Here is a 27,453-nt window from a genome sequence, read left to right as displayed (position 1 = left end):
GGACTTGGGGGAACTTAGTTAAAAATGCATAAACACGGGGGGATGAAACGGCTCCTGGGGCCTCGGTTGGGGGCCTGGGCTGGGCACCGGTCTGGGGCCACCCTTCTGATGACCAGAGCCTGGGACCGGCCGGCAGTGTTGGGAGAGCCCAGAGGGACGGCTTGTGAGGGTGGGGGGCACTGGTCTGTCCTGGGCGGGGGCCCCGCAGCTTCCAGGCCTCCACAATGGCCAGGGTGGGACTGCGGTCTTGACTTCCCACTGAAGAAAAATGGACAGGGGGTCCCTCATCAGCCCTGTTTAAAGAATGACAGTCGGCTGCTGTCTTAAAAGGAGGCCTGAACGGGAGTCGGGGAGGCCCCACCCTTCAGCCAGAGTCCTCGTCAGCCGGCAGGGCCACGCCCAGGTCTTTGAAGGCCACAGCCTTTATCACCAATGAGCCCAGCAAATGGAGCAATGAGCTGGCTGAGAGGCCCCCAGGCCGGTTATCAGGGGCTGCCTCCCCAGGCTGCGCCTCCTCTCCAAGCCTAGCACTAATCTCATCTGATAGTCACCTCCCACCTCCCTCACAGCCCGCAGCTGGGGTGTCCGAGGGGAAAGATCAGGCAGCAGGCAGAGGGGTGGGGTGCTTCCGGCCGGGGGGCCGCAGGCCACATGTGGAAGGGCAGCCACGCCCCCCACCCCAACGAGCTCGGCTGCTCCCCCTGCCCCCTAGGGAACGGTGGAGGTCGGCCCTGCTGGGGAGTCTCTTGCAGGCCTTCGAGTCACTCTCCACAGGACACCTGAACATAGGGCTTTAAAGCTGCACAGATAAAGCAGGTATTACCTCGCTGTGCTGTGCGGACATGCAGCAGCAGCTGTTACTCCAGACAGTGTCGGCAGAATGGGGATGCAGGCACGGCTGGATCCAGGGAGCCAAAGGCTCTGCCTCACTCTGCGCTCGTACCCCGCCTGGCTCCGTCCCTCCGCCTCACTCTGCGCTCGTACCCTGCCCAGCTCTGTCCCTGCAAGGCTGCGGTGTAATTAACAGCACCTGCTGGGCTGTGAAAGGAGAGGCCCCACTCTCCAGTATGGTGCCCATTTCCCCAGAAGAGCTGTGGTTCTGAGGGCTATGCCCTCCCTGGGATCTGGGCTGGGTGAGCTGGGCCGTGTGCCCTCACCTGTACTGCAGGGTGGGCGGCTTGCTGGGCAGGGAGAGGGATGAATTCCCCCAGGAAGATGGGCAGGGCTCCTGCCAAGACCCCACCAAGGTGGCTGTCCAGGCTTGCCAAGACATGCCCACGTATCAGGTCCAGCCACTGAGACCCTGCTGAGGGCATTGGAAGGAGCACAGGGGCCAGGACGGGGCTGGAAGGCGTCCCAGAAACGGAGGCCTCCTGGCCACAGCCCCCCGGTCCTGAGGCCGTTGTCCTGTGAATGGTAGGTGGGGGCTGAGGGGCACCATGGGGGAGTGGCTCACTGTGGCTTCTGTGGACAGCCAGGCTGGGAATGAGGGTCCTCCTGGCCTGGGAACAAGAGGAAGCCCTCTGAGACCCTGCCTTGGGGAGTACTCAGGAGCCCCAGGAGTCCCCTGAGAAGCTGACCGCCACTCTGGGGCATGAACGGAACCTTTCTGAGGTGGGGGTGGCAGAGCCTCCCAGCCAGGCTGCAGAGGCAATGGGGGGAGGGCCAGCGCTTCTGGTACTTACCTTTTTTTTTTTTTTTTTGAGTTGGTGTCTTGCTCTGTTGCACAGGCTGGAATGCACTGGCACGATCTTGGCCCACTGCACCCTCCGCCTCCCAGGTTCACGTCATTCTCCTGCTTCAGCCTCCAGAGTAGCTGGGACTACAGGTGCCCGCCACCGTGCCCGGCTAATTTTTGTATTTTTAGTAGAGATGGTTTTCACCATCTTGGCCAGGCTGGTCTCGAACTCCTTACCTCATGATCTACCTGACTCGGCCTCCCAAAGTGCTGGGATTAAAGGTGTGAGCCACCGCGCCCGGCCCAGGTGATTTTTCTTTGACTGGGGGCTGTGCAGGGCCCCACCAAACACCCCTAAAGGAGGCCAAGGCCTGCTTTTGTTCAGTGAGCCCACTTTGCTCCAGAGGTCCTGGCGTGGCCTAGGAGGCCCTGAGCACTCTGCCACTTCCTCACGGCCTGGAAGCCGACAAGTCTGGGCTCAGAATGGGAGTGAGTGCTGGGCCTCGGAAGAGACGCTGGGGCCGGCTAGGGGCCGAGTCCAAGCAGCCTCTTCCCTGCAGTTTCCTGGATAGTCTCAGGTGCAGAATTGAAAAGAGAAGTGCACGAGCCCCGTGGACTCCCCACGGAGAGGGGAGTGGATATTCTGCCATATTTACGTCATGCTATGTCTTGAACCCTTTGAATGTCAGTTTCAGATCTGAGGCCCTGAGCGCTGCCTCTGGAGACAGGGTGTTCTCCACACCCGAGGACACGGACCACTCCCCAGCACCGTCCCGAGCCCCTCGGAATCATCCCCACCAGCTGTGCAGGGCTGTGCTTTCCCACACTTCTTTGTCAGGGCTCATGTGTGCACCTGCGGCTGCGTCTCCCCAGCCTCTGCATCAAGGGCACCCCGCCCTCTCTCACAGAGGCTTCTGCAGGAGCCCAGCTGATCACCCTGGGAGCCCCCGAGGGCACCCCACCTTCTCTCACAGAGGCTTCTGCAGGAGCCCAGCTGGGCGCCCTGGGAGCCCCCGAGGGTTCCTGTCCACTGGAAGTTAGATGTGCAGGTTCCCAGAGATTCTTGGCAGGACTATTTCATAGCGACTGCACCTCCCACCTGATCCCGTGGGGAAGGAGCCGGCATAGCCCTCGGCCCCATGCAGCTGGGCAGCTCAGAGGGAAAGGAGGGTGAGCAGGAAGCCCGGCGGCATCGCAGGCCCAGGGCCCATCGGCAGCCTGAGTCCCCGGCGTCCACACCCGGCCCCACAGCCTCCCTGCCCTGACAGCCACTCCGGTTACAGAGAGGACAAGGCAGAGTTGACAGAGTGTGTCCGGGGCTTGGGAGAGACACACAACATATGCAGAGTACACACGTTCACTACACACGACCCACACACAGCACACACGCTCACTACACACCCACACAGCACACACGTTCACTACACACACAGCACAGACATGACACACACGTGGTGCACACAACACATACACAGCACACACATTACACATGCACACAGGACATGCACACGACACACACGGCACAGCACACATTACACATGCACAGCATACAAGATACAGTAACATGCGTGCATACACTACACATGCACAAACACATATACACCCCACATCCAGAGCACAACACGGAATTCTCACATCCATGACATGTACGCACTCACACCACACACATCACACGTGACACACCCACTCACACGCCACGTGCAGCACGGGTGACACACCCACACGTGACTCAGCTTCGGCAGGAATCACCGTGGAGCTCAGGAGTTCTGGCATCTAAAGACTGTTGTTTCCGGATGCATCTTGGCTGGACCCCAAGACTTTCTGTCTCGCAGAGAGCTGGACCCTGAGGGGCCCTGTCCTACGCCCTGACCCCTGCCATCCGGCGCGTCCAGGCTGCACCCCTCGTGCCCAGCTGTGCTGAGACCTCCTCACAGCTGCAGCTTCTGACCGCCTTCCTCTGCCCGGGATGTGTAGGTGTCTCTGCCCCGCCGCCCTGCGCCCCCAGTCAGGTCAGGACCCCCAGTGCTTGTAAGATGTCCACATGGGGATGTTGAGTGGGGTGGGGCCAAGAGCACCTGGGGCACTGTGCTTGTGGGGGCAGCTGGGGGCATCCAGGAGCAGAGGACTTGCCAAACTCTGGGACTGACGTCCAGCTGTCAGCCAGAGGACCCCAGAAGAGAGTGGGAAACAGGCTGCGGGGATGTGAGGAAGGTCCCCAGGGGAGAGCGGAAACAGGCTGTGGGGATGTGAGGAAGGCCCCCAGGGGAGAGCGGAAACAGGCTGAGGCCAGCGGAGTGGTCACTGCATCCCGGCCAGCTGTGACGCAGCAGGTGGGTGGAGTAGGGCTTGGGGGCATCTTGGTCTTCAAGGTCCACCCAGATACCAGCAGCCCATGAGGCCTGGGCCAACTCACTCTGCAGCCCCGGATGGGGGACAGGGAGAGAAGTTTGGAAGTCGTGGGTGGCAGAGCCTTCCCTGGGCCTGAGGGCCTTGTGGATCCCCCAGAACTCAGGGTCTAGGTCCCTGCTGGACACTTGGAGCCCGCCCCACTCCTCAGCCTCCGGGACTTTGCCCTTTTCCAGAGCTCCTCATCTGCAGGATGGAGCCAGGGCCCTAAGGAGGCCCAGGTGTGCCTCCGAACAGGCACAGCTCAGCCCCAAGGGGCTGCCCACCTTGTAGGGCCCAGTGTGCTGGCAGGACCTCGAGACACCACCAGGCCAGGGCCCTTACTCACCGGGAGAGTTCAGGACCAAGACGGTGTGGTTTGTGGCCTGGGGCCACACAGGGGACCAGAAAGCAATCTCCACGGGCGGTGAGGGGCACTTGTACTTTTATCACGGACAACGTGCCCCCATCCACATCCACAAATCAGTGCTGTCCAGGCCAAACCCAGTAGTCCCTGTCCAGCTGCTGCCCTCCGAGGGCCTCGCCCAGGCTTCTGTCACATTGTCACTCGCCAGGACGATGTACAGCAGCTGTTCCCCTCTTACCTGACGTTTAAAAGCACATGCCAGTTGTAAACACTTACAACAAGGGAGAAACGAGCAAGGGGAAAGTGAAACTCGCTGGGGACGCAGCCGCAGGACCACGCTTCTGTTCCTGTTGGGGTGCCCGGGTGGGTTTCACAGGTCGCCTCCAGTTCTGCAGGCTGAACCCGTCTGCCTGGGCACCCCGCACTGCCTGCCTCCTGGGCACTCTGGGGCGACATGGAAGGAATTGCACTTGTCTCAGGTTTCATGCACGCAGTCAGGAGTCTGCACCAAGAACGGTCCATCAACGCGGGAGTCCTCCCCGGGAGGGGCTTCCGTGCCTCCCATTCTGGGCACTTCCAGACCTTCTGCAAGAAGTGCTGTCCTTGAGTCATTGTTTTGTCCCGAGGCTGCTGCGAGCAGGGGGACAGGTGAGCACGTGTTGGAGGGTGGGGACCTGCGGGACAGCTTCAGTCCAGGCACAGCCGCAGGTCCCGGCTGCCCTGCTTTCCCTGGCCCAAGAAGAGCAGCCCTCAGCAAGCTGTGGGTACAGTCCCGGCTCACGCACAGCCTAGAGCGCACTGCAGGGCCCCAGCATCCTCGCCTTCATGTTCACCTTTGTTCCCTCCTGCTTTCCAGCTTTGGAGTTCTTGTTAAGAGGGACTTGAACCACAACGCTATAAACACACCTGCATTCCCTGTTTTCTTTTGTACACACAAAGCTTACAACCTTTACTGTTTCCAACTGGAAAACCAGTTTTTCCAACCCCTTTTAAAAAACAAATGATCCTTTTATCGTACGCCGAAAGCCCTACCCATGACAAGCCCACTTCTGCATTTGACTCTGTTCACTGACCCTTCGTTTCCTTCCTAAACCGACTCTTTCGGTAACTTTCAGTGAAGAGGTGGCTTTAATAAATATATTCTCAGGGCCGGGTGCAGTGGCTCATGCCTGTAATCCCAGCACTTTGGGAGGCCGAGGCGGGCGGATCACAGGGTCAGGAGTTTGAGACCAGCCTGGCTAACATGGTGAAACCCCATTTCTACTAAAAATAGAAAAAATTAGCCGGGCGTGGTGGCGGGTGTCTGTAATCCCAGCTACTCGGGAGGCTGAGGCTGGAGAATCGCTTGAACCCAGGAGGCGGAGGTTGCAGTGAGCCGAGATTGCGTCATTGCACTCCAGCCTGGGTGACAGAGCAACACTCCGTCTCAAAAAAAAAAAAAAAAAAAAAAATATATATATATATACACACACATATGTATATATATATTTATATATACGTATATGTGTATTTACATATATACGTACATATATATATTTATATATATTCTCCAGTAATCTCCAGAACCTTTGTGTGGGTCAGGGTGAGAGGTGCCACCAGGATGTAAACAGAACAACTGAGTCCTCCAGGTAGGAGCCAGGTGCGATCAGCAAGACCGCGAGTGTGGGAGTCAGAGGTGCCTCCTCAAAATGCATCCCCCGTCTGTGGCATAGCACACAGGCCCCGGGGCCCCGTGGACAGGGCTGGTCCCAGCGAAGGCCGGCCTGGGGTAGGGGGGTGGGACGCCAGAGGCTGCCCGCAGCAGGAAGCTCCCGCAGATGCCAGGGCCTCTTGTGCCACTTGGCAGAGACCCCAGAAGGAGCCAGGGGGCAGCATCAGAGCCTGGGGCCCGGACAGGGGTGCCCAAGGGCACAGCAGCTGCAGGCCATTGGCAAGGCCAGAAGACGTTGAGTAGAAAGCTGGGGGCGCATGGAGAGACCCCGAGAAGGGGCTGTGCAGCTGGGGGTCCTGCATTTGCCGTTTGTGTTTCATGCGGCGATTCTGAAACCAGGTTTTTATCTGTAGGAAAAGCAAGATCAGAACAGGGGTGAGACTAGGCCACCAGCCCACCCTTGCCCACCCCTGCCCACCCCAGCCTGCCCGGCCCACCTCACCTGGACCTCTGAGAGCTGCATCTCCCTGGCCAGCCTCTTCCGCTCCAGAGGGCTCAGGTACTGGTGGTGCTGGAAGACGCCCTCCAAGGTGCGGACCTGCTCCATGGTGAAGGCTGTGCGGACACGGGGGGCCCGCAAGGTATTTGGCTCCTTACTCAACCCTGACATAGAGGGTAAGGGCATTTGGCTCAACATGCCACCCCATGGGGCAAGCTCGTGCCCACGGGTAACAGGTGAAGACAGCCATGCTGGGGGCTGGGCAGGGCAGATCTTCTCACCTGACAGTGACCAGCAGCACCCCCGCCGCCTCCCAGGTCACATGCGGAAAGGGGGCTCAGAGAGGGGGCTCAAGAGGGGAGGGAATGTTAACAGCAGCTTGGGCCTGCCCTCCGCTCAGTCCACTCAGTTCCGCCCCATCCCACACTTCCCTTCCAGAAGCCGGTTCCCAGGATGCCCTTCCCACAGCCTTCCAGGCCGGTAAGGTAAGAATCCATTATATGCAAAGGCCTGGCGACCCACCCAGGGGCACCCATCCCTGTCCCGGGCTCCGTCTCCTCAGCCAGCGGAGGCCAACTCAGTTAATCCCCAGGCCCACTGTGGTCAAGTCTGTTTCCTAATTTCTAAGTTAAGGAATGGGGGCTGGCACCAAACGGCCCCACGAGGTGGTCTGTGGAGCTGGGTCTGGGTCCCAGGAAAGGCCAACGTGGCCAATCGAGCTCGACATTAAATGCAAGTCTGACCAAAATGCTCGCTGGAGTTTCTGCGGAAGGAAGCGTATTTTACAAAATCTGTCTTAACGTTAGCCTGAAAGCACATGGTAGACCCAAAAAGCAAATGCCTTCTGGCAGGGAGGGCTGTAGGACTGGCATCAGAAAGGGGGTTGCGGGACAGGGATGGCTGGCTTTTTTGGGGTGGGGCAGGATAGCTAGCTGGGGAGAATACATTTAAATTTTCATTTCCCTTAAGTACAAAGTCACTCCATAAGGATCAGTCAAATTTTTAAAAATGAAAACTTGTAGATGATGTCAACCCCACTTTTGACCAAGTACTACCTTAAACCTAAAAGTGGTGATGATGTCACAAAGACTAAAACACAAACGCAGAGAACCTTTGTTCTCAGCAGACAACAGAGCATCTGGGCGGCCACAGAGGGAACTTCAGAGTTTCTGCAGGCATCGGGGTCACCGCCACCCCTGCAGCGAACCTGCAGGCTCTTTAAAGACAGCTGTGCTCCAGGTGACCCGGAATGGGCTTGAGCCTAGACGCTGAGCAGGCACCGGCTGTGCTGGGGGGCGGGGGCGGGGGGCTTGGCAAATCATCGAGACTTTCAGTGAGCGCCCGGAATCAGGGCAGGGAGGTGCGGACGGGGACCCCTTGGACGGTCCCTCGGCACCAGGCCGGGGTGGGGGACGAAGACACAGCTGAGGAACGGGGTGACAAAAGGAGGCAGAGGAGCCCACCGGGGGCTCAAGGAGAGGAAATCCCCGTCAAGGCTTTGGTTCCGAGGGAAGCTGCGCTCCAGTGAGGGCGCCGGCAAGGCCTCCGCCGGCCCTCATGGAAACGCCCCCGGCCCTGACCTAGTGGGCAGGGCACCGCGGGGAGTGCAGCCGCCGGGCTCCTGGCCTCTCCCCCACTCCCATCTCCACCTGGGAAGGAAGGGACCCCCCCCACCCGGACCTACCGGCCATGGTCCTCTCCGGCGCAGGCAGATTTGAGGACCCGGCGGCCTCCTTGATGCTGACGGCCTGAGGGGGCTCCCGGGCGCCGGATGTCTGGCCTGGGCCAGGGAGGCTCCCCAGGGAGAAGTCGGCAGGCCTGGGGGTGTGGGTCGGCCCTGAGCAGCTGCTCTGGGAGAGCCAGTCCACGGAGCCAAAGCTGGAGAGCTGCTGCGGGCCACGAGGTGGGGAGGAGGAGAGGCGCATGGCGGCCAGGTGGGCCGGAGGGAAGGCCAGGCGGGGCTGGCCAGGCGCAGGATCCACCTCGGGCCTCGCCAGGCGGCGGCGTTTATAAGCCCAGGAGGAGGGGGCGGGAGCCCGGTTTGCATACACGGCTAATGCCCAGATAAGCAGCGCCTAATTGCCTTCGATTCAGAGGCACAAAGGAGGCCGTTCACACCTCCCCGGCTCCTCGATGTCTGGGGGAGGGGCGGGGCTGCGGGCCCTGGTTAATGGAGAGGCGATGGTTCGGGATCGGTCACCTCCTTTCATCTCTCCCAACCCCCCACCCCGCGGGCCGAGGCTGCAGGAAGGTAGGAGGGTCCCACTCCCACTTGGGCCTGTCCTGGGAGGTGCCGGGCGACCTCTCCTCTCCAGGGGGACGCTGGCGCCTGTGCCCAGCCCGGACACCCGAGGGCGAGCAGGCTTCAGGCTGGGAGAGTCAGGGCGGACTTAGGTTGGGAGCAGGCTTCGGGGTGGGAGAGTCAGGCCGGTGCCCGCGTGCGCTGCGTCCAGGCTGTGCGGCCGCGCAGGAACCGAGGGAGGCTTTCCCGGGAAAGAGACGCGGAGGACCCGGGGAGCGGCGCGCGGGGGCGGGAATGTCGGGAGGGGCCTCTCGGGGGACTCGGCCGCCTCCAGCCCTAATCCGGCTCCTCTGGGGGACTCACTCCGGGGCCATCGCAGGAGCCTCTGCATTCGGGCGCGGGCGGCTCCCTGACTCCATCCCGAGCTGGAAGGGCCGGAGCCACTGCCTCGCACGGCGGGGTAGGAACTCCGCGTCGGCGGCGGGACTGGTGCGTCCCCGCCAAGCCAGGCTGTCCCCACTGTGGCCAGGGCGCGGGCAGAGCCGCCGGTGACTGTGGCGCCCAAACCTCACGGGGACGCCCTGAGCACGGGCCCCCGGGACGGTCATAGCCACGCGCGGCCGCTGCTCCCACGAACCTGAGTCCCGAGCTGTCTGCGTCTCCGCGTCCCCGGGTCGCCTGCGCGTCGGCGTGGGGCGCGGGGACCGACGTGACCGGGTGGGAGGCAGCCATGCCGAGGGTAGGACGGTGTCTTCCGCGCACTGGCTTGGGGTCCGCACGGCGTCTCCGGCGGCCGGAGTTAGGCGGAGGCGCAGGTCCGGCCCCCGAAGCCATGCGGGGTTTCGGCGCAGACGCGGGGTCCACGGAGCAGCCCCGACTCCCGGCCAGGTCCTGACCGCGGCTGCCTCAGCGCCCACGCCGCCCGCGGAAATCAGAAAGACCGGCGGGCCTCGCCCCACGGTTACGCCCGCCCCAGCCAGCCGAGCCTCCCGGGCTGAGCAAAGAGGTTGGAGCCCGGGAGGCGGGCGCTGGGGCGGGACCTCAGCCGGGAACCGATCGGCGGCCTACCTGGGGTCACAGGAGAGGGGTCGCGGAACGGACCGTGCCGCCGCTGACCCTGGTCTTCCTCGGACCCTGCCGGCCCAGTTAGGTCACTGGGCCCTCAAGGGGGAGGCTGGCGGGGGTGGGGCGCTGGGGGCTTTGGACGTGGCCTCGGGGGTAAAGCCAGGAGGGGTGGGGGGCCAGGAAGCCGGCCTAGACCCCCGCTGCACTTCATCTCCGGAGAGACCGGGTCACCCCCGGTAGAGGGGCTTTGAGCCACTGCACAGGACCGGCAGTGTGTCCCGGCCAGGGGCAGCGAGGGCCCAGATGCCTGTGGCCACAGGGCTGGCCCCGAGGATGCCCCATGGGGCAGGTCCCCAGCACTCCCGCAGTGGGGGCGGTGCCTCAAAGTGGAGCAAGACAGCACACCTCACACATCCCGCAAAAACATACAGAACGTTCGACAGGCAGGGAAAAGGCCCAGAAGCTTCCCTTACATAAAGAGGAACACCACGAGCATGCATTTCCGAAACGCCAGCACCCAGCCTTCCATTTCTCCATTTCTAATTTCCGGGGCCCAGGGCCCCGGTGTCTCAGCCCCCTTCTGTACGTGGTTCAGCACCCCCACCCCCAGCTCTACATAGAGCCCCTCCTGCCGGTTTCCCAGCCCCCCGCCACCACCTCCACCTGAACCGCCCCCTCCGATCCCCCCAAGCCCGAAGACAACCTCACCTTCACACGGCAGGGTCAGGCAGCCCCTCTCTCCTGCCCAGCGGCCCCACCACCGTGGCTCAGGCCTCCCCGCCTCCTGCAGCCCGGGCCCCTCCCTCCACCCTCCCTCTAGAGCCCGCCGAGGCTGCTCTAGCCCAGGCTTGGGGGTCCCCAAAGCCTCCGCCTCCAAGCCTCCGTCCACCCCCGGCTCTGGGACGCGCCCTGATGCGCTGCCATGGGTAGGAGACTTGGGCGCCCCCCTGCCTCCTTCCTCCCAGCCCCTGGGGCAGCCCAGCCCCGTGAATTGCGCCCCGCACGCCCCAGAGCGTGGTCCCCGCGGGCGTCGCCCTGTCCCCCACCCTCGGGGGCCAGGCCGGGTTGCGCTGGGCAGGAAGTCCCGCGTCACTCCCAGGCCGACAGCACCGCCCCCACGCACAGCCCGGAGTCCAGCTAGTCCCCGAAACGCGCTCCCCCCGAGTCCAGGGCCTGAGGACAGACACCGGGCCCAGCGCGTGCTGCCGGCCCCGTCGCGACTCGCCCGAGCCTCCTCCGAGCACTCTGGGACCACCTGAGGGGGAGGCCAGCTACTCAGGAGGCTGAGGCAGGAGAATCTCTTGAACCTGGGAGATGGAGGTTGCAGTGAGCCGAGATCGTGCCCCTGCACTCCAGCCTGGGCGACAGAGTGAGACTCGGCTGAAAAGGCTGCACATTGTATGATTCCATTCATATGGCCCTCTAGAAAAAGCGAAACTATAGGAACAGAAAATAGATCAATGGTTGCCAGGGCTGGGAGTCAGGGAGCAGGTGACTATAAAGGGACACAAAAAAAGTTTCTTGTTGTTATGGAAATGTTCCGTAACTCAATTGTGGTTTTGGTTGCACAACTATATGTATTTTTACAAATTCGTAGAACCGTACACTACAAATGGTGAGTTTTACTGTATGTGAATTACACGTCAATTAACCAGACTTTAAAAAAAGTTTGTAGAGATTCCCCAACCCCTCCCCAACACCCACCCCTGTGGCCTCGGCCTCCCTGACATCCCACGTGCCCCCTTCCCCGACGCCCCACGATCCCCGCTCCCCAACACCTCCACGCCCCCCTCCCCGACACCTCCATGCCCCCCTCACCGACACCCCACGCCCCCTTCCCTGACACCCCCACGCTCCCCTCCCCGACTCCCCCACACTCCCCGCTCCCCGACTCCCCCATGTTCCCCGCTCCCCGACACGTCCACTAGGAAGTGGGGCTGGTCTGGTGCATGGCCGATAAAGAAACGCTAAGCCGGCCAGGTGCGGTAGCTCACGCCTGTAATCCCAGCACTTCGGGAGGCCAAGGTGGTCGGGTCACCTGAGATTGGGAGTTCGAGACCAGCCTGACCAGCATGGTGAAACCCTGTCTCTACTAAAATACAAAATTAGCCAGGCGTGGTGATACATGCCTGTAATCCCAGCTATTCGGGAGGCTGAGACAGGAGAATCGCTTGAATCCAGGAGGCGGAGGTTGTGGTGAGCCAAGATCGCACCATTGCACTCCAGCCTGGGCAACAAGAGCCAGACTCCATCTAAAAAAAAAAAGGTAACGCTAAACCAACTGTGCTCAGACACTGGCCCCATTAAACAGCACACAGGAGGCTAATCCTGCCATGCCTACAGAGCGCCTTACTTATTTTGGAGACAGGCTTTCACTGTTGCCCAGGCCGGAGCGCCTCATGTGATCACAGCTCACTGCAGCCTCGATCTCCAGGGCCCAAGTGATCCTCCTGCCTGAGCCTCCAGTGAAGCTGGGACTGCAGGTGCGTGCCACCATGTCCAGTTAATTTTTGTGTATTTTGTAGAGATGGGATTTTATCATGTTGGCCAGGCTGGTCTCAAACTCCTGAGCTCAAGTAATTCTCCTGCCTCAGCCTCCCAAAGTGCTGGTATTACAGGCATGAGCCACCGCATCTGGCCCCTAGATTGATTTAAACAGCCAAAATACACTCTCTGCACCAGATTAGAAAGCATTAGAGGTCCGGGGCCCATGTATTCAGATTCATTATTCTGATACCGGGCTCAGGAGGATCATAGCACGTGGCCCCTGCCCCACTACCTGAGTAGGAAGGCAGATTAATTCTGCTTGGTGCCCCTAAATTGCTCCAGCCCAGAGATGGGTCCTTCCTCCAGGGCCGAGTGTCCAGTAACCCGAGTGATAGAGCGGCACAGCCCCCACCCTTAGGGTGCTGGTGTGTTTGCTGGGATGTGGCTGTCTGGACCTGGGCTTGCTGTCAGCAGTAACCTTCTGGAGCGACAGGGTCATGTAGGGTGCACCTAAGCTCTGTTTCAGACCCCACTGTGGCCTCAGCCTGTGACTCTGACCTTTGGGGGCTGTGTATGTGAGGGGGAATGTTTGCAAGCTTGGCTCATCCAACAGGCTTTTAGCAGCTTGAAGATTCTCAGGAAACACAGCAGGGTGGAGCTGATGTGAGACGGGGTCTCACCATGTTGCCCATGCTGGTTTGGAATGCCTGAGCTCAAAGTGATCTTTCCGCCCAGGCCTCCCAAAGTGTTGATATTATAGGCGTGAGCCACCTAGCCTGGCCTAGGGTGTCTATTTTTTTTTTTTTTTTTTGAGACGGAGTCTCGCTCTGTCACCCAGGCTGGAGTGCAGTGCACAACCTCCACTTCCCAGGTTCAAGCGATTCTCCTGCCTCCTCCTGCCTCAGCCTCCCGAGTAGCTGGGATTACAGGCTCACGCCACCATGCCTAATTTTTGCATTTTTAGTAGAGATGGGGTTTTACCATGTTGGTTAGGCTGGTCTCAAACTCCTGACCTCGTTTGTGATCTGCCCGCCTCTGGCCTCCCAAAGACCTGGGATTACAGGCGTGAGCCACCGCGTCTGCCTTCAGAGTGTTTTTTTGTTTTTTGAGACAGAGTCTCTGTTGCCCAGGCTGGTGTGCAGTGGCGCAATCTTGGCTCACTGCAACCTCCGCCTCCTGGGTTCAGCACTTCTCCTGCCTCAGCCTCCCGAGTAACTGGGACTACAGGCACCCGCCACCACACCCGGCTAATTTTTGTATTTTTAGTAGAGATGGGGTTTCACCATGTTGCCCAGGCTGGTCTCGAACTCCTGAGCGAGCTCAGGCAATCCACCCACCTCAGCCTCCCAAAGTGTTAGGATTACAGGCGTGAGCCACAGCGTCCGGCGCCTCAGTTTCTTAAATGAGGTGAGGCTTGGAGTCAGTTCTTGCAGGCGTGGTCTCACAGGCCTCCCCCTCAGACCTGGGCAAGCCGTTCATTTCCCCAGGAGCAGCCTTTAGCACTAGCGGGAACTATTCTTCTGGATACCCAGAAAAGCATGTGCAGGAGGGGCTGCAACCATACCACCCACAGGGAACCCCTCAGGACTGCTGGGTGCTGGGCCAGCGGGGACCCCCCCAGCCCCATTTAGCTGCATGGCCCTGGGCAAACCACTTGTCTTTCTGGATGGGCCCACTAATTTGCAGGCATTGTTATGCTAGCGGAACTCCTCCAGGCTACATTTGTATCTCCGGCTCCAGCCAATCCCTCTTCTGACTCAGGGGTCCAGGGTGGGGCCCTCTATTGCTACTTGGAAAATGCTTCCTGGGCAGGTTTGCTTCGGTTTTCTCAAAATTGCAAGGACCCTGCCCTCAGCCTCTGCCCAAGGATCACACCCCAGACGCTCAGCGCCTCCCTAGGCCCACCCAGACCAGAGCCACCTCCCTGGAGACAAAACCAGCATCCTCCCTGGAGCTCTGTGGCTTCTCTTCCCCTTTTGTTTCCCAGGACCTGGGAGAGTTCAGCCGGGTGGTCCAAGGCTGCCCGAGGCCATGGGAGGACCTTCGGAACCCCCCATGCTACTCCTGGGTCAAAGGGGGTTCTCTGCTGGGCAGTGTGGAGGCGACCACTCTAACCCCTACCCCTGCATTGAGTGAAGAGGTGGGGTCAGCCTCAGGTTCTCTCCGGACCCCCAGCGGAGCCCACCCGTTCACTTCGTTTTACTCAGTGGGGCTCCCCGGGAGGGGCAGGGAGAGTCTGGTGTGGCCTTGAGAACCGAGTGTGTGACCAGGACCCGGCAGCAGGCACCACGCCCACCACCCTCGAGCCTGGCCTCCTCGGCCTACATTTGGGTGCGCCCCACGGAGCTCTGTCTACACCTTAGGAGCGAGTGGGAGCCCCTCTCTGTGATGAGAGCGTCGCAACCCTGCCCTGACCTTTGCAGCCCCAGCACTGCAGGGCGCCACTCCCTCCCCGTCTCCAGACCCGCACTCCTACACAGCCCGGACTCTAGGAAAACAATCCTTTTATTGAACATACCCAAGAACGGGGGTGGGAAGGCAGCAGGAGGGGTCAGGGCGGAGGGGCCTCGGCCTGGAGAGGGGAGACTGGCCGCAGCCGGGACTCACTGGCACGGGTCCCTGAGGACCCCTCGCTCGGCGGCCGCGCTGCCCAGAATGAAGCCCACGGCCAGGGACACTGTCTGGTCGAAGGCGCCGCGCAGCTGCTCCACGTGCTGGTTCAAGGTCAGCAGCTGGTCGCGCAGCGGGCCCAGGATGTTCGCGATGTCGCCCAGGTGCCCCAGGGTCTGCAGCAGGGCGGTGTTCAGCGACGGGGGCGCGGCCGGAGGGGGCGCGCAGTCCTCGGGGCGGCCGGGCGGCGAGTCGGGGTCTTCGCGGGCCGGGGGTGGCGGCGGGGACCCGGGGCCGCGGACGGGCGCGCGGTCCTCGGGGATGCAGGTGGCGAGGGCGGTCGGGGCGGGAGCTGGCGGGGAGCCGGGGGCGGGGGAGGCGTCCGCAGACTTCGGTGGGGACGGGCTGAAGCGGAGCGTCCAGGTGGGGTCCGCGTCGCGGTCGCGGGCGGTGGGCAGCGGGGTGGCGTCTGGGAACGCGGAGCAGGCGGTCGGGCGGATTTTCGCGGGGCGCGCCCGCCCCTCCCCCGCAGCCCTCGGCAGCCCCCGGTTCCTCCGCAGTCCTCGGCCCCACCTGGCCCCCCAGTCCCCCGCCTACCTGGTTCGCTGGGAGCCGGCGCGTGCGCGTTGGGGACCGGGCGGCGGGCGCGCTGGGGGCGCCCGGACCCCGGGGAGCGGCGGCGAGGCCGTTTGCGCCCGTTGTCGCCCAGCAGCCCCATGAGCTTCCGGATCTGCTCGTCGAAGGGCCCGGGCGGCTGGCCGTGCGCCTCGCGAAACTTGTCTTTAAGGAACTTGTAGCGGCGGCGGCACTGCGCGGGGGTGCGGCGCACCTGCTGCTGGGCCAGCGCGGCCGACACGCGGCGGTAGGTGGGCAGGGCCTGGCGGCGGTCCAGGAGCAGCGCGCGCCACACGGCCGGTTGCAGCAGCGTCCCCAGCAGCAGCTCCGTCTCCCGGGCGCTCCAGGGCGTGCGCTGCGCCGAGCCCGGGGACACCGGCAACCCGAGTTCCCCCAGCGCGCTGGGCGAGGCGGGCCTCCGGGGCGGGGTCCCCGGGGCGTCTCCGGGTGTCCGCGGCTCGGGGTCGGGGCTGGCGGGCGAGGGCGGCGCGGGGGGCGCGAGCGGGGGCGGCCTGCGGGGCCGGAGCAGCATCCCGGGGCTGGGGCGCGGCGCGCGAGGATGGGGAGAGGGCCAGACGCCGCCCGGGCCGCCCACACGCGTTCTGAGCATCCCGCGCCGCCGTCCCTCCGTCCCAGCCGGGTCTACGCGACCCTCCCACCATCCCCGCCCCGCCCCGCGCGCCCCGCCCCGCCCGCCGGGTCCTAAGGGGTCGGTCCTGGCGCTGCGGCCGGGAAGACGCAGAGCAAAGACTGGCTTCGGTTGGAAACGGAGGGTCCTCAGGAGTTCTGTTCTTAGACCCGTTCAACGGAGGTGCCGCGATGCCTAAGCCCCGGCGGCTCCGCTCGTTTTTAGCCTGTGCCGAGCCTACCCCCGCCCCCGTCGAGGTGTGTGCGGAGCCCCTCCCGCTCCGGAAGGCGCTGGCGCCCCCTTGTCCGGCCCCCAGTGCTGCCCCCGCCCCCGCCGCCCCCGCCCGGGCTCAGCACCTGCACGCGAGGGGTCCGGAGGACCGACCCGGGTCCCAGGGGGAGTCGCCAGGCCAGGGGATGGGTCCGAGGAGAAGCCACGCCAGCCGCGGGAATGGGTGTCGGAATTCACGCGCTCGCAGAAGTAGCTTTTAAAATCTGAACTTCTTCCATCTGCAGCGCGTCTGCAGCCAGCATCCCTGGGAGGAGGAAATTCTCTTCCTATTAAATGCTCTTCCTCCTTGCCGCACGGCGCCGAGTCCTTCTGTCTCCTGGGTCTCCTCTGGGCCGTGGCAGCTTCTCGCGTCCTCGACACGGTTGAGGACGGGCCAGGTGTTTTGTTGAATGTTCCTCGACTTGGGTTTGCCTGGTGTCTTCCTGTGATCCGACTAGGGTGGTGGGTTTTAGGAAGGAAGGCGCAGGGGTGGAGTCTCGCCCCTCCTGTCTTGTGGCTCAGCACCGGTGAGGTCTGCTCCGTGCTGGGGTGCGGACTGTCTGCCACTCTTGCAGTCTTCAGGTATCGCCTTTCCATCCCTGCTCTGGTCACTGGAATCCGGCCCCTCAGCCCATCCCCAACTCATGGGGAGAGTAATTAGGCCCCACCTCCTGGAGGGGTGTCTGTATTTTCTGGGATTCTTCTGTAAGGTTTGTCTCTCTGCCTGTTGATTTATTTACTCAGTCATTTATTTCTACAGTGTGGGCTCGTGTATATTTATTTTATCCTTTAGGTCATAACCCGATGCTGTTATTATTTATTTGTTTTAAAAGTTCTGTTTGTTTTTATTATTTTTTACAAATGGGGTCTCTTTCTGTCACTCAGGCTGGAGTGCAGTGGCCTGATCACAGCTCACTGTAGCCTTGAACTCTTGGGCCCAAGTGATCCTCCAGCCTCAGCTTCCTTGGTAGCTGGGACTACATGTGTGCACCACCACACGCACCTAGTTTTTTTTTTTTTTTTTTACTTTTTGTAGGGACAGGGTCTTGCTATGTTGCCTAGGCTCGTCTTGAACTCCTGGGCTCAAGTGATCCTCCTGCCTGGGCCTCCCAATGTGCTGAGATTACAGGAGTGAGCCCCTGTGCCGGGCTTTTATTTGTATTTTTGCGCATATCGTTCCTGCTTTGGCCATTGAAAGTCTTCTCACCTCCTCCTCTCTTCCTTGTCCTTTTGAAACCCCCTCCCAGCTCCCTGGCAATACAGGATGCTCCTGCCTCATCTGGTCCTTTGCCGACCCTGGTCCTAGAATCAGCTTTTCAGACACTTCTCAAGAAATCTGTGGTTCCTGGCCAGGCACTCATACACGGGGCTCACACCTGTATTCCTAGCACTTTGGGAGGCTGAGGTGGGCAGATCTCCTGAGGCCAGGAGTTTGAGACTGACCTGGGCAATATAGTGAGACCCCCATCTCTGCAAAAAAATAAAAAATAGCCGAGTGTAGTAGCAGGTGCCTGTAGTTCCAGCTACTTGGGAGGCTGAGGCGGGAGGATGTCCTTTTGCTCAGGAGGTTAAGCCTGCAGTGTACCGTGATGACCTGACTGCACTCCTGCCTGGGTGACAGGGCAAGACTCTGTCTTAAAAAGAAAAGGGGGGCGTGCAGGCGTGGTGGCTGTAATCCCAGCACTTTGGGAGGCTGAGGCAGGCGGATCACCTGAGGTCAGGAGTCTGAGACCAGCCTGGCCAACATGGTGAAACCCCATCTCTACTAAAAATACAAAAATTAGCGAGGCGTTGGATGTGCACCTGTAATCCCAGCTTCTAGGGAGGCTGAGGCAGGAGAATTGCTTGAACCTGGGAGGTGGATCTAAAAAAAAAAAAAAGGCTGGGCGCGTGGCTCAAGCCTGTTGACACCCAGCACTTTGGGGGGCCGAGGCGGGCGGATCACGAGGTCAGGAGATTGAGACCATCCTGGCTAACACAGTGAAACCCGTCTCTACTAAAAATACAAAAAATTAGCTGGGTGTCGTGGCATGTGTCTGTAGTCCCAGCTACTCAGGAGGCTGAGGCAGGAGAATCGCTTGAACCCAAGAGGTGGAGGTTGCAGTGAGCCAAGATCGCACCACTGCATTCCAGCCTAGGTGACGGAGTGAGACTCTGTCTCAAAAAAAAAAAAAAGATTTTTAATAACTGAGGGTTGGGGGTGCTGGGGGCATCTGATGGGTGGAGATCAGAGATGATGGTGCACAGGACGCCAGCGCAGACTGTCTAGCCCACAGTGGCACTGCAGTGCACAGCACAGCCTGCCTTGAACCCGTCTGGGACAGAGCCGGGGAGTGGATGGCGGCGTGGGGGACAGAGCCGGGGAGTGGATGGCGGCGTGGGGGACAGAGCCGGGGAGTGGATGGCGGCGTGGGGGACAGAGCCGGGGAGTGGATGGCGCCGAGAAGCGAGGCTCATGAGGTTGCTGGCTGTCAGCTCTCTAAGAGAAAAGTCCTGTGCTCAGCGGAGCTGAATTTATTGGAGCCACTGCAGTGAGGGGTCCGGCCTGCATGGCGTGGGGGCGAGGACGCACACATGACCAGGACCAGGGCCCCCTGTCTCGGGCAGCTCCTGTCCAGCACAATTGGACTCCACCATCTTGTCTTCTCGGCTTCTCCTGGGCCTCCCTCCAGGCGGATAACCGCACCGTTCATCACGGGAACTTCCCGAAAGACCCATCAGCTCTTTTCCCAAAAGCATCCACAGTTTACAACCCCAAAACCATTGGAAGCCCTGGCTGTGAGCCCCTCCCTGAGTGGTGTCCACCAGTCTTACCCTGTGACAACCGTGAGAGTGTCCTTTCCCGGGCCACAAGCCCCACCTGCAGGAGCTCCCCGTCCTGGCCTCCTGCTCCACTGTGGTCAGAGTTACGGCGAGCTTGCACCGTGATGACGGGGGACCCAGCTCTGTCTTGCCCACAGGGCTGCCAGGTGGGAACTGGCTGGGTTGGGCAGAGTTTAGCGCAGATTGACCCAAGAACAGCCGTGGGTCTGTGCAAATAGCCTGTAAGAACTGATGGACAGACGCCCGTCCTGATCTTGGATGAAGACACTGCACATCCAGCATGAGGGACGTCCTTTTTGTCAATGGAGGGCGAGCCTGGATGTGCGCACACAGGAGCGTGGTTACGGGAGTCCGTTCTTTTAGGCTGTTTGCAGTCACAACCAGAAGCAAGTGTTTCCTGCCCCAGCCGGTGCGTTTGCTTGTTCCCACGGCCTGGGAGTGCTGGCGGTAGCTTTCCTCCTGGCGGGGCCTGAGTTGTGACACACGTCTGGCAGGCCCGGGCCTTTCTCTGCGGCATCAGAGGGCGTCGCTGTGGACCGGCAGATTCGTTTTCAGTCCTGGGTTGAGCACATCTCGCACCTGGAGTCCTTGTGAGCACCTGTAAGGGGCCTTCGTGCGGCCATGAAGGAAAACGTGTCGACCTGCAGAGGTCACCGTGGGGACCCGCAGAGTGACCACACAGCAGCAGCTGGTAGAAAGGACTTTATTCAGAAATTGGTGCCAGGACGGGAGGGAGCCATGCGGACAGTCGCGCTGAAGCCTGAGCCCAGTGCTGCCCCGGGGTCAGTCCTGACCGCTGGAATGTTGATTTGCACTGAGCACTGTCTGTTAGATACAAAATCTGAAAATGCGGGCGTGGGTCAGCAAAACATAATCCATATAAAAGCCTAAAAAAAAGTGAACTGCATTTCGTGGCCAGGACGCCGACTTCCTCTCATGTTACATCGAAGCGGGGCCCGGATGTCTCCGGTGAATTTATGTGGGAAAACACATCTTGACATTAAAAATGCAGCGATTTGTCACAGGTCACAGTTTTCCTAGAAATGCCACTAGCTGGCTGCTCTAAAGAATGACTAATTCTAAAACTCAAAAGCACAACCCTGGGTCTTGTGATTGGCACCGTGAGAGCCCCACGGAGCTGGGGCCGTGCCCGGGGCTCTGGTCACCCAGCTGCAGAGGCCAATGTGGAGCTGACTGCGCGGGACTCCCATGGCCCTGGCCAAGGGGCTCCACACCAGCTGCCTGGGGTCCAAGAACCTGAGCAAGGGCAAGGGGCCGTGGAGGCAGCGCACTTCCTGTCTCTGGCGAAGCGTGAGTGTGTGGCGAGCTGTGGAGGCAGGGCTGCGGGCGCACATGCATGGCTGCTGGAGGCGGTGGGCAGTGGCGGTCCCTGGGGCATGAGATGGGTGGGGGCACTCTCAGGGACCCCCGCCACAGAGCCTCTGTCTTGGAGCTGCTCTGAGTGTCCTTTCCAGGAAGCAGGGCCTTTGCCCGGGCATGACCACCTCACCAAGGGCTGTTCTAAGCTGGGGGGCCCTGGGCCCTGGGGGAGCAGGCCCAGCCCAAGGTGCCTGCTCCAGCAGCAGGCCTTGGGCACCTGGGGGTCTGGGCTGGGGAGGAGGGGCACTGGGCAGGGAAGGGGAGAGCGGTTCTGGGTCTGGGTTGTGGGGGGTGAACCCAGGCAGGGTCTCGGACCGGAGGTCTCGGAGTCCCTGGGAGCTGCAGTTGGCCACTCAGAGGTCAGCTTTGGCCCTTCGTTGCTCAGCCAACCCAGGCTGGCTCAGAAACCTGCTCAGGGAGGAGCTACTCTGAAGTTTGTTGAGTTGGCGGTGGAGGCTGTTGCTGTTTTGTGGGGGAGTCACTGAGAGCTGGGTAAGAGCCACTTATCTGTGTGTGAGAGGCGCAGACAGGCACAAAACTCCTGGGAAGCTGTCTTTCATTTTCATTTTTAAATTTAACTTTTTAATTCTAGCAGAAACACGCAAACCTCCAAGACTCTTGTGCCCGTCCTGGCTCCGTCTGCTGGGAGGAGACCAGCTCTGCCTGTCCCCATGGGGTCCCCTGAGCCTCCACCTCCTGGTCCAGCTCCCCAGGGTTCGGGGGCGGAGGGGCCTTGATAACGGCCGGGCCTGAGACGCGGCTCCCACCTCCCAGCCCGCCCCCCACAGTCGGATTCGGATCTGGAATTCCACACCAGGCCCGAGCTCGGCTACTGGAATGTAGCCTTCATCCTCCGTAGCTTGTCCTGAATCTTCCGTGAGTGCTTCTCGCTGGAGACCTGGTGGAAGTTGGCCCTGCTATCTGCGGCGAGTGTGGAAATGTCGGCACCGCTGAAGCGGGCAATCCTCTGCTTGAGGTACGACTGGAGCTTGGGGTCGGGGCTGAAGGTGTAAGGGTTCTCCTGGAACGCGTGCACCTGGCTCACCACCTTTGCGATGTTCCTTCCGTTGAGGAAAGAAGAGACGTTAGTTTGCACAGGGCAGGGGCGCGGCTTCCGTGGGGAGGGAGTCCCCCCGCGTTCTTAGGAATCATTTGGACTAAATCTTTTCACCGTGTAAATTCTGAAGGGTGGGTTGTCTGTATTTATTGGCGAGGTGGAAAGGTCACTACTCAGACCTTTCCGTCTGTCTGACTGTCCATCCATCCACATTTCAGTCCACACACGCTTATGGAAACCCTGCAGGCTCAGGCTCGTCCCTGCTGAGCGTCCCAAGAAGAGTCAAGCCCAGTCTGCCGCAGGGGCTGCAGCTGAGAGGACGAGGCAGGCAAGGGACTCTCTGCTGCCGTGCAGAGCGTTCACATTCACACCTGGGAATCGCCACGGCCGGGGCCCAGGGCCGGAAGCCTGGGACAGCTGGTTGACAGTGACCAGCACACCATAGAATATAATGGAGAAAGCTGGCCAGTCACGAGCAGGAGCCCTCAGCCAGGCCTGGGGACACTGATGCCACAGACAGACGCCCTGTCCTGATTTTGGATGGAAACACCACATGCCCAGTGTGAGGGACAAAGAAAGGGGCGTCCATTACGGCAAAGAAAGGCCAAGCCTGGATGGGCTCTCACACACACACACGCCGGGAAGAGCATGCCTGGATGGGCTCTCTCACACACACACACACACGCCGGGAAGAGCATGCCTGGATGGGCTCACACACACACACACACGCCGGGAAGAGCATGCCTGGATGGGCTCACACACACGCCGGGAAGAGCATGCCTGGATGGGCTCACACACACACATGCCGGGAAGAGCATGCCTGGATGGGCTCTCACACACACACACACGCCGGGAAGAGCATGCCTGGATGGGCTCTCACACACACACACACGCCGGGAAGAGCATGCCTGGATGGGCTCTCACACACACACACACACGCCGGGAAGAGCATGCCTGGATGGGCTCTCACACACACACATGCCGGGAAGAGCATGCCTGGATGGGCTCTCACACACACACAGACACACGCCGGGAAGAGCATGCCTGGATGGGCTCTCACACACACACACACGCCGGGAAGAGCATGCCTGGATGGGCTCTCACACACACGCACACACACGCCGGGAAGAGCATGCCTGGATGGGCTCTCACACACATGCACACACACGCCGGGAAGAGCATGCCTGGATGGGCTCTCACACACACACATGCCGGGAAGAGCATGCCTGGATGGGCTCTCACACACACACATGCCGGGAAGAGCATGCCTGGATGGGCTCTCACAGACACACACACGCCGAGAAGAGCATGCCTGGATGGGCTCTCACACACACACACACACGCCGGGAACAGCATGCCTGGATGGGCTCTCACACACACACACACACACATGCCGAGAAGAGCATGCCTGGATGGGCTCTCACACACACACACACCGGGAAGAGCATGCCTGGATGGGCTCTCACACACACACACGCCGGGAAGAGCATGCCTGGATGGGCTCTCACACACACACACGCCGGGAAGAGCATGCCTGGATGGGCTCTCACACACACACACGCCGGGAAGAGCATGCCTGGATGGGCTCTCACACACACACACGCCGGGAAGAGCATGCCTGGATGGGCTCTCACACACACACACACGCCGGGAAGAGCATGCCTGGATGGGCTCTCACACACACACACACTGGGAAGAGCATGCCTGGATGGGCTCTCACACACACACACGCCGGGAAGAGCATGCCTGGATGGGCTCTCACACACACACACACTGGGAAGAGCATGGCTGGATGGGCTCTCACACACACACACACACGCCGGGAAGAGCATGCCTGGATGGGCTCTCACACACACACACACTGGGAAGAGCATGCCTGGATGGGCTCTCACGCACACGCACACACGCCGGGAAGAGCATGCCTGGATGGGCTCTCATGCACACACACGCCGGGAAGAGCATGCCTGGATGGGCTCTCACACACACACACACACGCCGGGAAGAGCATGCCTGGATGGGCTCTCACACACACACAGACACACGCCGGGAAGAGCATGCCTGGATGGGCTCTCACACACACACACACTGGGAAGAGCATGCCTGGATGGGCTCTCACACACACACACGCCGGGAAGAGCATGCCTGGATGGGCTCACACACACACACACACACCGGGAAGAGCATGCCTGGATGGGCTCTCACACACACACACACACGCCGGGAAGAGCATGCCTGGATGGGCTCTCACACACATGGGGATGCTGAGAAGGGCAGATCTGGAGGCGCTCACATACGCACGTGGACGCTGTGGAGAGCAAGTGCCACTCTTGGCTTGTTTTCTTTCCTGATTGAGCATCACCTTAAGTTTTTTTTTTTTTTTGAGACGGAGTCTCGCTCTATCGCCCAGGCTGGAGTGCGGTGGCGCGATCTCGGCTCACTGGAAGCTCCGCCTCCCGGGTTCACGCCATTCTCCTGCCTCAGCCTCCCGAGTAGCTGGGACTACAGGCGCCCGCCACCGCGCCCGGCTAATTTTTTGTATTTTTAGTAGAGATGGGGTTTCACCATGTTGGCCAGGCTGGTCTTGAACTCCTGACCTCAAGTGATCCGCCCGCCTCGGCCTCCCAGAGTGTTAGAGTTACTGGCGTGAGCCACCGCGCCCGGCCCACCTAGGGTTACAGGCGTGAGTGGCTGCACCCAGCCCGGCCCACCTAGGGTTACAGGCGTGAGTGGCTGCACCCAGCCCGGCCTACCTAGGGTTACAGGCGTGAGTGGCTGCACCCAGCCCTGCCCACCTAGGGTTACAGGCGTGAGTGGCTGCACCCAGCCCGGCCTACCTAGGGTTACAGGCGTGAGCCGCCGCGTCTGGCCTACCTTAAGTTTTTAACTTCTCTTTTGCTGACATGGGTTTTCTGATCTCTTACGATAAGCATACATTTATGGCATATTATAATTATTGTTTTTAAATTGGTGGCTATCTAAGAAGGGGACCTTCACCTATCAGGCTGAGGATCCATGGGCACCTGGTCCGCTGAGCATTGCTCCCCAAGTGAGGCCATCTACCGTGGGGGAGGGTGGAGCCGCCGTGGCCTGGGCAGCCTCCACCTGACCGTGTGTGGACAACGGCAGGCGATGAGATGAGACGGGAGGGTGGGAGATTGTGTCTTGAGGGAGAGAGTGAGGCCGAGCTTGGGGCTGTGGGCACCTGAGGGTCATCGGACACAGGCCTGGGGCTCCAAGGAGAGGCTGGCCCCTGTGCCTTACCAGGTGGAAGAGCCTGTGTGGCCTGGGGTGTGAGCCCTGTGGGTCGTGGTGGTAGGTTTTACAGCCAGCCCCAGTCTGCGCCTCCCAGGTGGTGTGCAAGGTAGTTGGTCCCAGGTGCTGGGCAGGTGGACAGCAGGACCACAGGAACAGGCTGAGGACTGATCCTGGGTCCCACCTGGATGTCTCTAGGGAGAGGGGTTTCAAGGGGAGCAGGGACACTGTGGCACCCAGCGGTCAGGACAGGTTGCTGCCGGGCAGCCTCTGTGCTGCAGAGACCCTCAGGGTGGGGTGGAAAGTGTGCCTGGGTCCCAACACAGGGGTCCCTAGAGACCACGGGGAGTGTTTTGGGACCATGGACAGCAGAAGTGCAGGAAATGCTCCAGATTTGCAGAGAAGGAGGTGGCTGGAGGTTATCTTGGGTAGAGGGAGGTCTGAGGCTGTGAGTGCCAAGTGAGGGGCAAGGTACCCAGGCCTCTGAAAAGCAAGGACAGGAGGAGAGGTGCCACCTGAGCGTGCCCCACCTGGGCATGCGCCCATCTGAGCCCCTCCTCTGCTGGATGCGCGGCCACCTGAGCCCCTCCTGACCTGGGCGCGCGCCCGCCTGAGCCCCTCGTCTCCTGGGCGCGCGGCCGCCTGAGCCCCTCCTCACCTGGGCGCGCGGCCGCCTGAGCCCCTCCTCTCCTGGGCGCGCGCCCGCCTGAGCCCCTCCTCACCTGGGCGCGCGGCCGCCTGAGCCCCTCCTCTCCTGGGCGCGCGCCCGCCTGAGCCCCTCCTCACCTGGGCGCGTGGCCGCCTGAGCCCCTCCTCTCCTGGGCGCGCGCCCGCCTGAGCCCCTCCTCACCTGGGCGCGCGCCCGCCTGAGCCCCTCCTCACCTGGGCGCGCGGCCGCCTGAGCCCCTCCTCACCTGGGCGCGCGGCCGCCTGAGCCCCTCCTCACCTGGGCGCGCGGCCGCCTGAGCCCCTCCTCTCCTGGGCGCGCGCCCGCCTGAGCACCTCCTCACCTGGGCGCGCGGCCGCCTGAGCCCCTCCTCACCTGGGCGCGCGCCCGCCTGAGCCCCTCCTCTCCTGGGCGCGCGCCCGCCTGAGCCCCTCCTCACCTGGGCGCGCGGCCGCCTGAGCCCCTCCTCTCCTGGGCGCGCGCCCGCCTGAGCCCCTCCTCACCTGGGCGCGCGGCCGCCTGAGCCCCTCCTCTCCTGGGCGCGCGGCCGCCTGAGCCCCTCCTCTCCTGGGCGCGCGCCCGCCTGAGCCCCTCCTCTCCTGGGCGCGCGGCCGCCTGAGCCCCTCCTCACCTGAGCTTGCTCCACCTGTGGGCCCCGTTGGTCATGGTGAAGCCGCCTGTCTCCAGCTGCTGGATGTGCATGGCCAGGAGGTGGGCCGAGGGCAGGGTGGGCTGCGCCCGGAAGCGCCGCCCTTCCATCAGACACAGGCTGTCGCTCTTCAGGAAGACCTGGTGGTCCAGCCGGGGCGTGGGCCGGGGAGAGACAGGGCGTGGTCAGTGCAGGAGCCTCAGCCGGGGCCAGCGCAGCCCAACCAGTCCCAGCGGGTCCTGCGTTCTCCACGCACGGGGTCTACCCGGCTCTCTGAATTAGCTTCCAGTCCCGAATGTTCCTGGATGGTTGGACTTGGCTCACACCTGCGGGGTCTTAAGCTTTCACGGCCCTGACAGCCGCTGGGAGGTTTTGTGCCTCCTGCTGCTGAAATGGTGAGTCCCTTTCCTTGCTCTCTGCTGGACTCCAGGAAGTGCCAGGTAACCCAGCTTCCCTAAATGAGACCCCGGCTGACCAGAGCAGGGCCCCGTGTCTGCGTGTCCAGCAAAGACATGCAGGAGCCGTCCCACCCGTGGACAGCTGTGGCTGGGGCTTGAGGCCGAGCTCTGAGACCCAAGACGGGGACAGGCTGTGGCTGCTCTGGGACTCGTCTGAGTCATGTTTGGGGATGGCTGGTCACTTCCAGCAGCAATTCCTTGTTCATCATCTCATGAGGCCACCCCTGCCGTCCTGGAGGAGGTCCAGGTCGGTCAAGCTCAGGCCCCAGCCACAGACCTCAGTGCTGTCCTCTGGGCACCTGTGCTCTGTGTGAGGAACTCAGACCAGCAAGGCCCCGGGACCGAGCAGGTGGGACACCTCTGCCCAGGTGGCAACAGAGGCCCTGCCGGGAGATGACTCCAAGGCCTCCGTGAGGCCACCCTGGCTGGGCCACCTGCACACACTCTGTGGTGCCTGCGTCTGGGTGCGGCAGGCTCTGCACAGCAGTTCGTTTAGGAGAGGGCCTCGGGGGACCAAAGCCGCCCGGCCACGTAAAGTGCTGGTACCTCCACGGCTTTCAGCTCCTCCATGACCTCTGCTATCTTTGCAGGCAGAATTCTCCAGGCCTGAAATGAAAGCACAGGTGAGCCTCCTGCGGCCGTGCGGGTACCCACCCCCGCCTTGGGGCCC

The 27,453-nt window shown here is 61.6% G+C and overlaps 3 protein-coding genes across 3 annotated transcripts in view, besides 11 other annotated features; all 3 read right to left on the bottom strand.

Annotated features, from left to right (window-relative positions):
• Nucleotides 727–1,579: an enhancer, noted in NCBI's record as "H3K4me1 hESC enhancer chr10:135058345-135059197 (GRCh37/hg19 assembly coordinates)". NCBI's record gives its function as "activates a minimal SCP1, AML or CMV promoter by ChIP-STARR-seq in naive and primed H9 embryonic stem cells {active_cell/tissue: H9 hESC(naive and primed)}" and the evidence as "EXISTENCE:reporter gene assay evidence [ECO:0000049][PMID:30033119]".
• Nucleotides 727–2,110: a biological region, named in NCBI's record as "MED14-independent group 3 enhancer GRCh37_chr10:135057814-135059013".
• Nucleotides 911–2,110: an enhancer, noted in NCBI's record as "MED14-independent group 3 enhancer chr10:135057814-135059013 (GRCh37/hg19 assembly coordinates)". NCBI's record gives its function as "activates an origin of replication core promoter dependent on BRD2, BRD4, P300/CBP and CDK7 cofactors, and independent of MED14, by STARR-seq in HCT116 cells {active_cell/tissue: HCT116}" and the evidence as "EXISTENCE:reporter gene assay evidence [ECO:0000049][PMID:35650434]".
• Nucleotides 2,432–3,284: an enhancer, noted in NCBI's record as "H3K4me1 hESC enhancer chr10:135056640-135057492 (GRCh37/hg19 assembly coordinates)". NCBI's record gives its function as "activates a minimal SCP1, AML or CMV promoter by ChIP-STARR-seq in naive H9 embryonic stem cells {active_cell/tissue: H9 hESC(naive)}" and the evidence as "EXISTENCE:reporter gene assay evidence [ECO:0000049][PMID:30033119]".
• On the bottom strand, nucleotides 4,492–8,565 carry VENTX (VENT homeobox). Its single transcript, NM_014468.4, has 3 exons — nucleotides 8,265–8,565; nucleotides 6,584–6,744; nucleotides 4,492–6,488 (listed from the first exon to the last, which is right to left on the bottom strand). Exons 1-3 carry the CDS (start codon nucleotides 8,503–8,505, stop codon nucleotides 6,114–6,116), a joined length of 777 nt encoding a protein of 258 aa, NP_055283.1. The 5' UTR covers nucleotides 8,506–8,565; the 3' UTR covers nucleotides 4,492–6,113.
• Nucleotides 7,778–8,381: an enhancer, noted in NCBI's record as "H3K27ac-H3K4me1 hESC enhancer chr10:135051543-135052146 (GRCh37/hg19 assembly coordinates)". NCBI's record gives its function as "activates a minimal SCP1, AML or CMV promoter by ChIP-STARR-seq in naive H9 embryonic stem cells {active_cell/tissue: H9 hESC(naive)}" and the evidence as "EXISTENCE:reporter gene assay evidence [ECO:0000049][PMID:30033119]".
• Nucleotides 8,382–8,986: an enhancer, noted in NCBI's record as "OCT4-NANOG-H3K27ac-H3K4me1 hESC enhancer chr10:135050938-135051542 (GRCh37/hg19 assembly coordinates)". NCBI's record gives its function as "activates a minimal SCP1, AML or CMV promoter by ChIP-STARR-seq in naive H9 embryonic stem cells {active_cell/tissue: H9 hESC(naive)}" and the evidence as "EXISTENCE:reporter gene assay evidence [ECO:0000049][PMID:30033119]".
• Nucleotides 8,987–9,590: an enhancer, noted in NCBI's record as "H3K27ac-H3K4me1 hESC enhancer chr10:135050334-135050937 (GRCh37/hg19 assembly coordinates)". NCBI's record gives its function as "activates a minimal SCP1, AML or CMV promoter by ChIP-STARR-seq in naive H9 embryonic stem cells {active_cell/tissue: H9 hESC(naive)}" and the evidence as "EXISTENCE:reporter gene assay evidence [ECO:0000049][PMID:30033119]".
• Nucleotides 10,800–11,404: an enhancer, noted in NCBI's record as "H3K27ac-H3K4me1 hESC enhancer chr10:135048520-135049124 (GRCh37/hg19 assembly coordinates)". NCBI's record gives its function as "activates a minimal SCP1, AML or CMV promoter by ChIP-STARR-seq in naive H9 embryonic stem cells {active_cell/tissue: H9 hESC(naive)}" and the evidence as "EXISTENCE:reporter gene assay evidence [ECO:0000049][PMID:30033119]".
• Nucleotides 13,822–14,621: an enhancer, noted in NCBI's record as "OCT4-NANOG-H3K27ac-H3K4me1 hESC enhancer chr10:135045303-135046102 (GRCh37/hg19 assembly coordinates)". NCBI's record gives its function as "activates a minimal SCP1, AML or CMV promoter by ChIP-STARR-seq in primed H9 embryonic stem cells {active_cell/tissue: H9 hESC(primed)}" and the evidence as "EXISTENCE:reporter gene assay evidence [ECO:0000049][PMID:30033119]".
• UTF1 (undifferentiated embryonic cell transcription factor 1) lies at nucleotides 14,862–16,203 on the bottom strand. The gene is made up of 2 exons (NM_003577.3): nucleotides 15,582–16,203; nucleotides 14,862–15,453 (listed from the first exon to the last, which is right to left on the bottom strand). Exons 1-2 carry the CDS (start codon nucleotides 16,129–16,131, stop codon nucleotides 14,978–14,980), a joined length of 1,026 nt encoding a protein of 341 aa, NP_003568.2. The 5' UTR covers nucleotides 16,132–16,203; the 3' UTR covers nucleotides 14,862–14,977.
• Nucleotides 15,422–16,221: an enhancer, noted in NCBI's record as "H3K27ac hESC enhancer chr10:135043703-135044502 (GRCh37/hg19 assembly coordinates)". NCBI's record gives its function as "activates a minimal SCP1, AML or CMV promoter by ChIP-STARR-seq in naive H9 embryonic stem cells {active_cell/tissue: H9 hESC(naive)}" and the evidence as "EXISTENCE:reporter gene assay evidence [ECO:0000049][PMID:30033119]".
• The window catches only part of KNDC1 (kinase non-catalytic C-lobe domain containing 1), a 66,194-nt gene continuing 58,748 nt past the window's right edge, over nucleotides 20,008–27,453 (bottom strand). Inside the window, exons 28-30 of the mRNA NM_152643.8 lie at nucleotides 27,330–27,389; nucleotides 26,308–26,465; nucleotides 20,008–21,761 (exon numbers count right to left, since the gene is read on the bottom strand). Of these exons, the coding sequence (NP_689856.6) occupies nucleotides 21,530–21,761; nucleotides 26,308–26,465; nucleotides 27,330–27,389 (450 nt within the window). The 3' untranslated portion in view covers nucleotides 20,008–21,529. The remainder of the gene's footprint in view (nucleotides 21,762–26,307; nucleotides 26,466–27,329; nucleotides 27,390–27,453) is intronic.
• Nucleotides 20,702–21,325: an enhancer, noted in NCBI's record as "H3K27ac-H3K4me1 hESC enhancer chr10:135038599-135039222 (GRCh37/hg19 assembly coordinates)". NCBI's record gives its function as "activates a minimal SCP1, AML or CMV promoter by ChIP-STARR-seq in primed H9 embryonic stem cells {active_cell/tissue: H9 hESC(primed)}" and the evidence as "EXISTENCE:reporter gene assay evidence [ECO:0000049][PMID:30033119]".

Source organism: Homo sapiens, chromosome 10, assembly GCF_000001405.40.
Source record: "Homo sapiens chromosome 10, GRCh38.p14 Primary Assembly".
Classification (NCBI taxonomy): Eukaryota; Metazoa; Chordata; class Mammalia; order Primates; family Hominidae; genus Homo; species Homo sapiens.
This window is presented reverse-complemented; position numbering and strand designations above follow the sequence as displayed.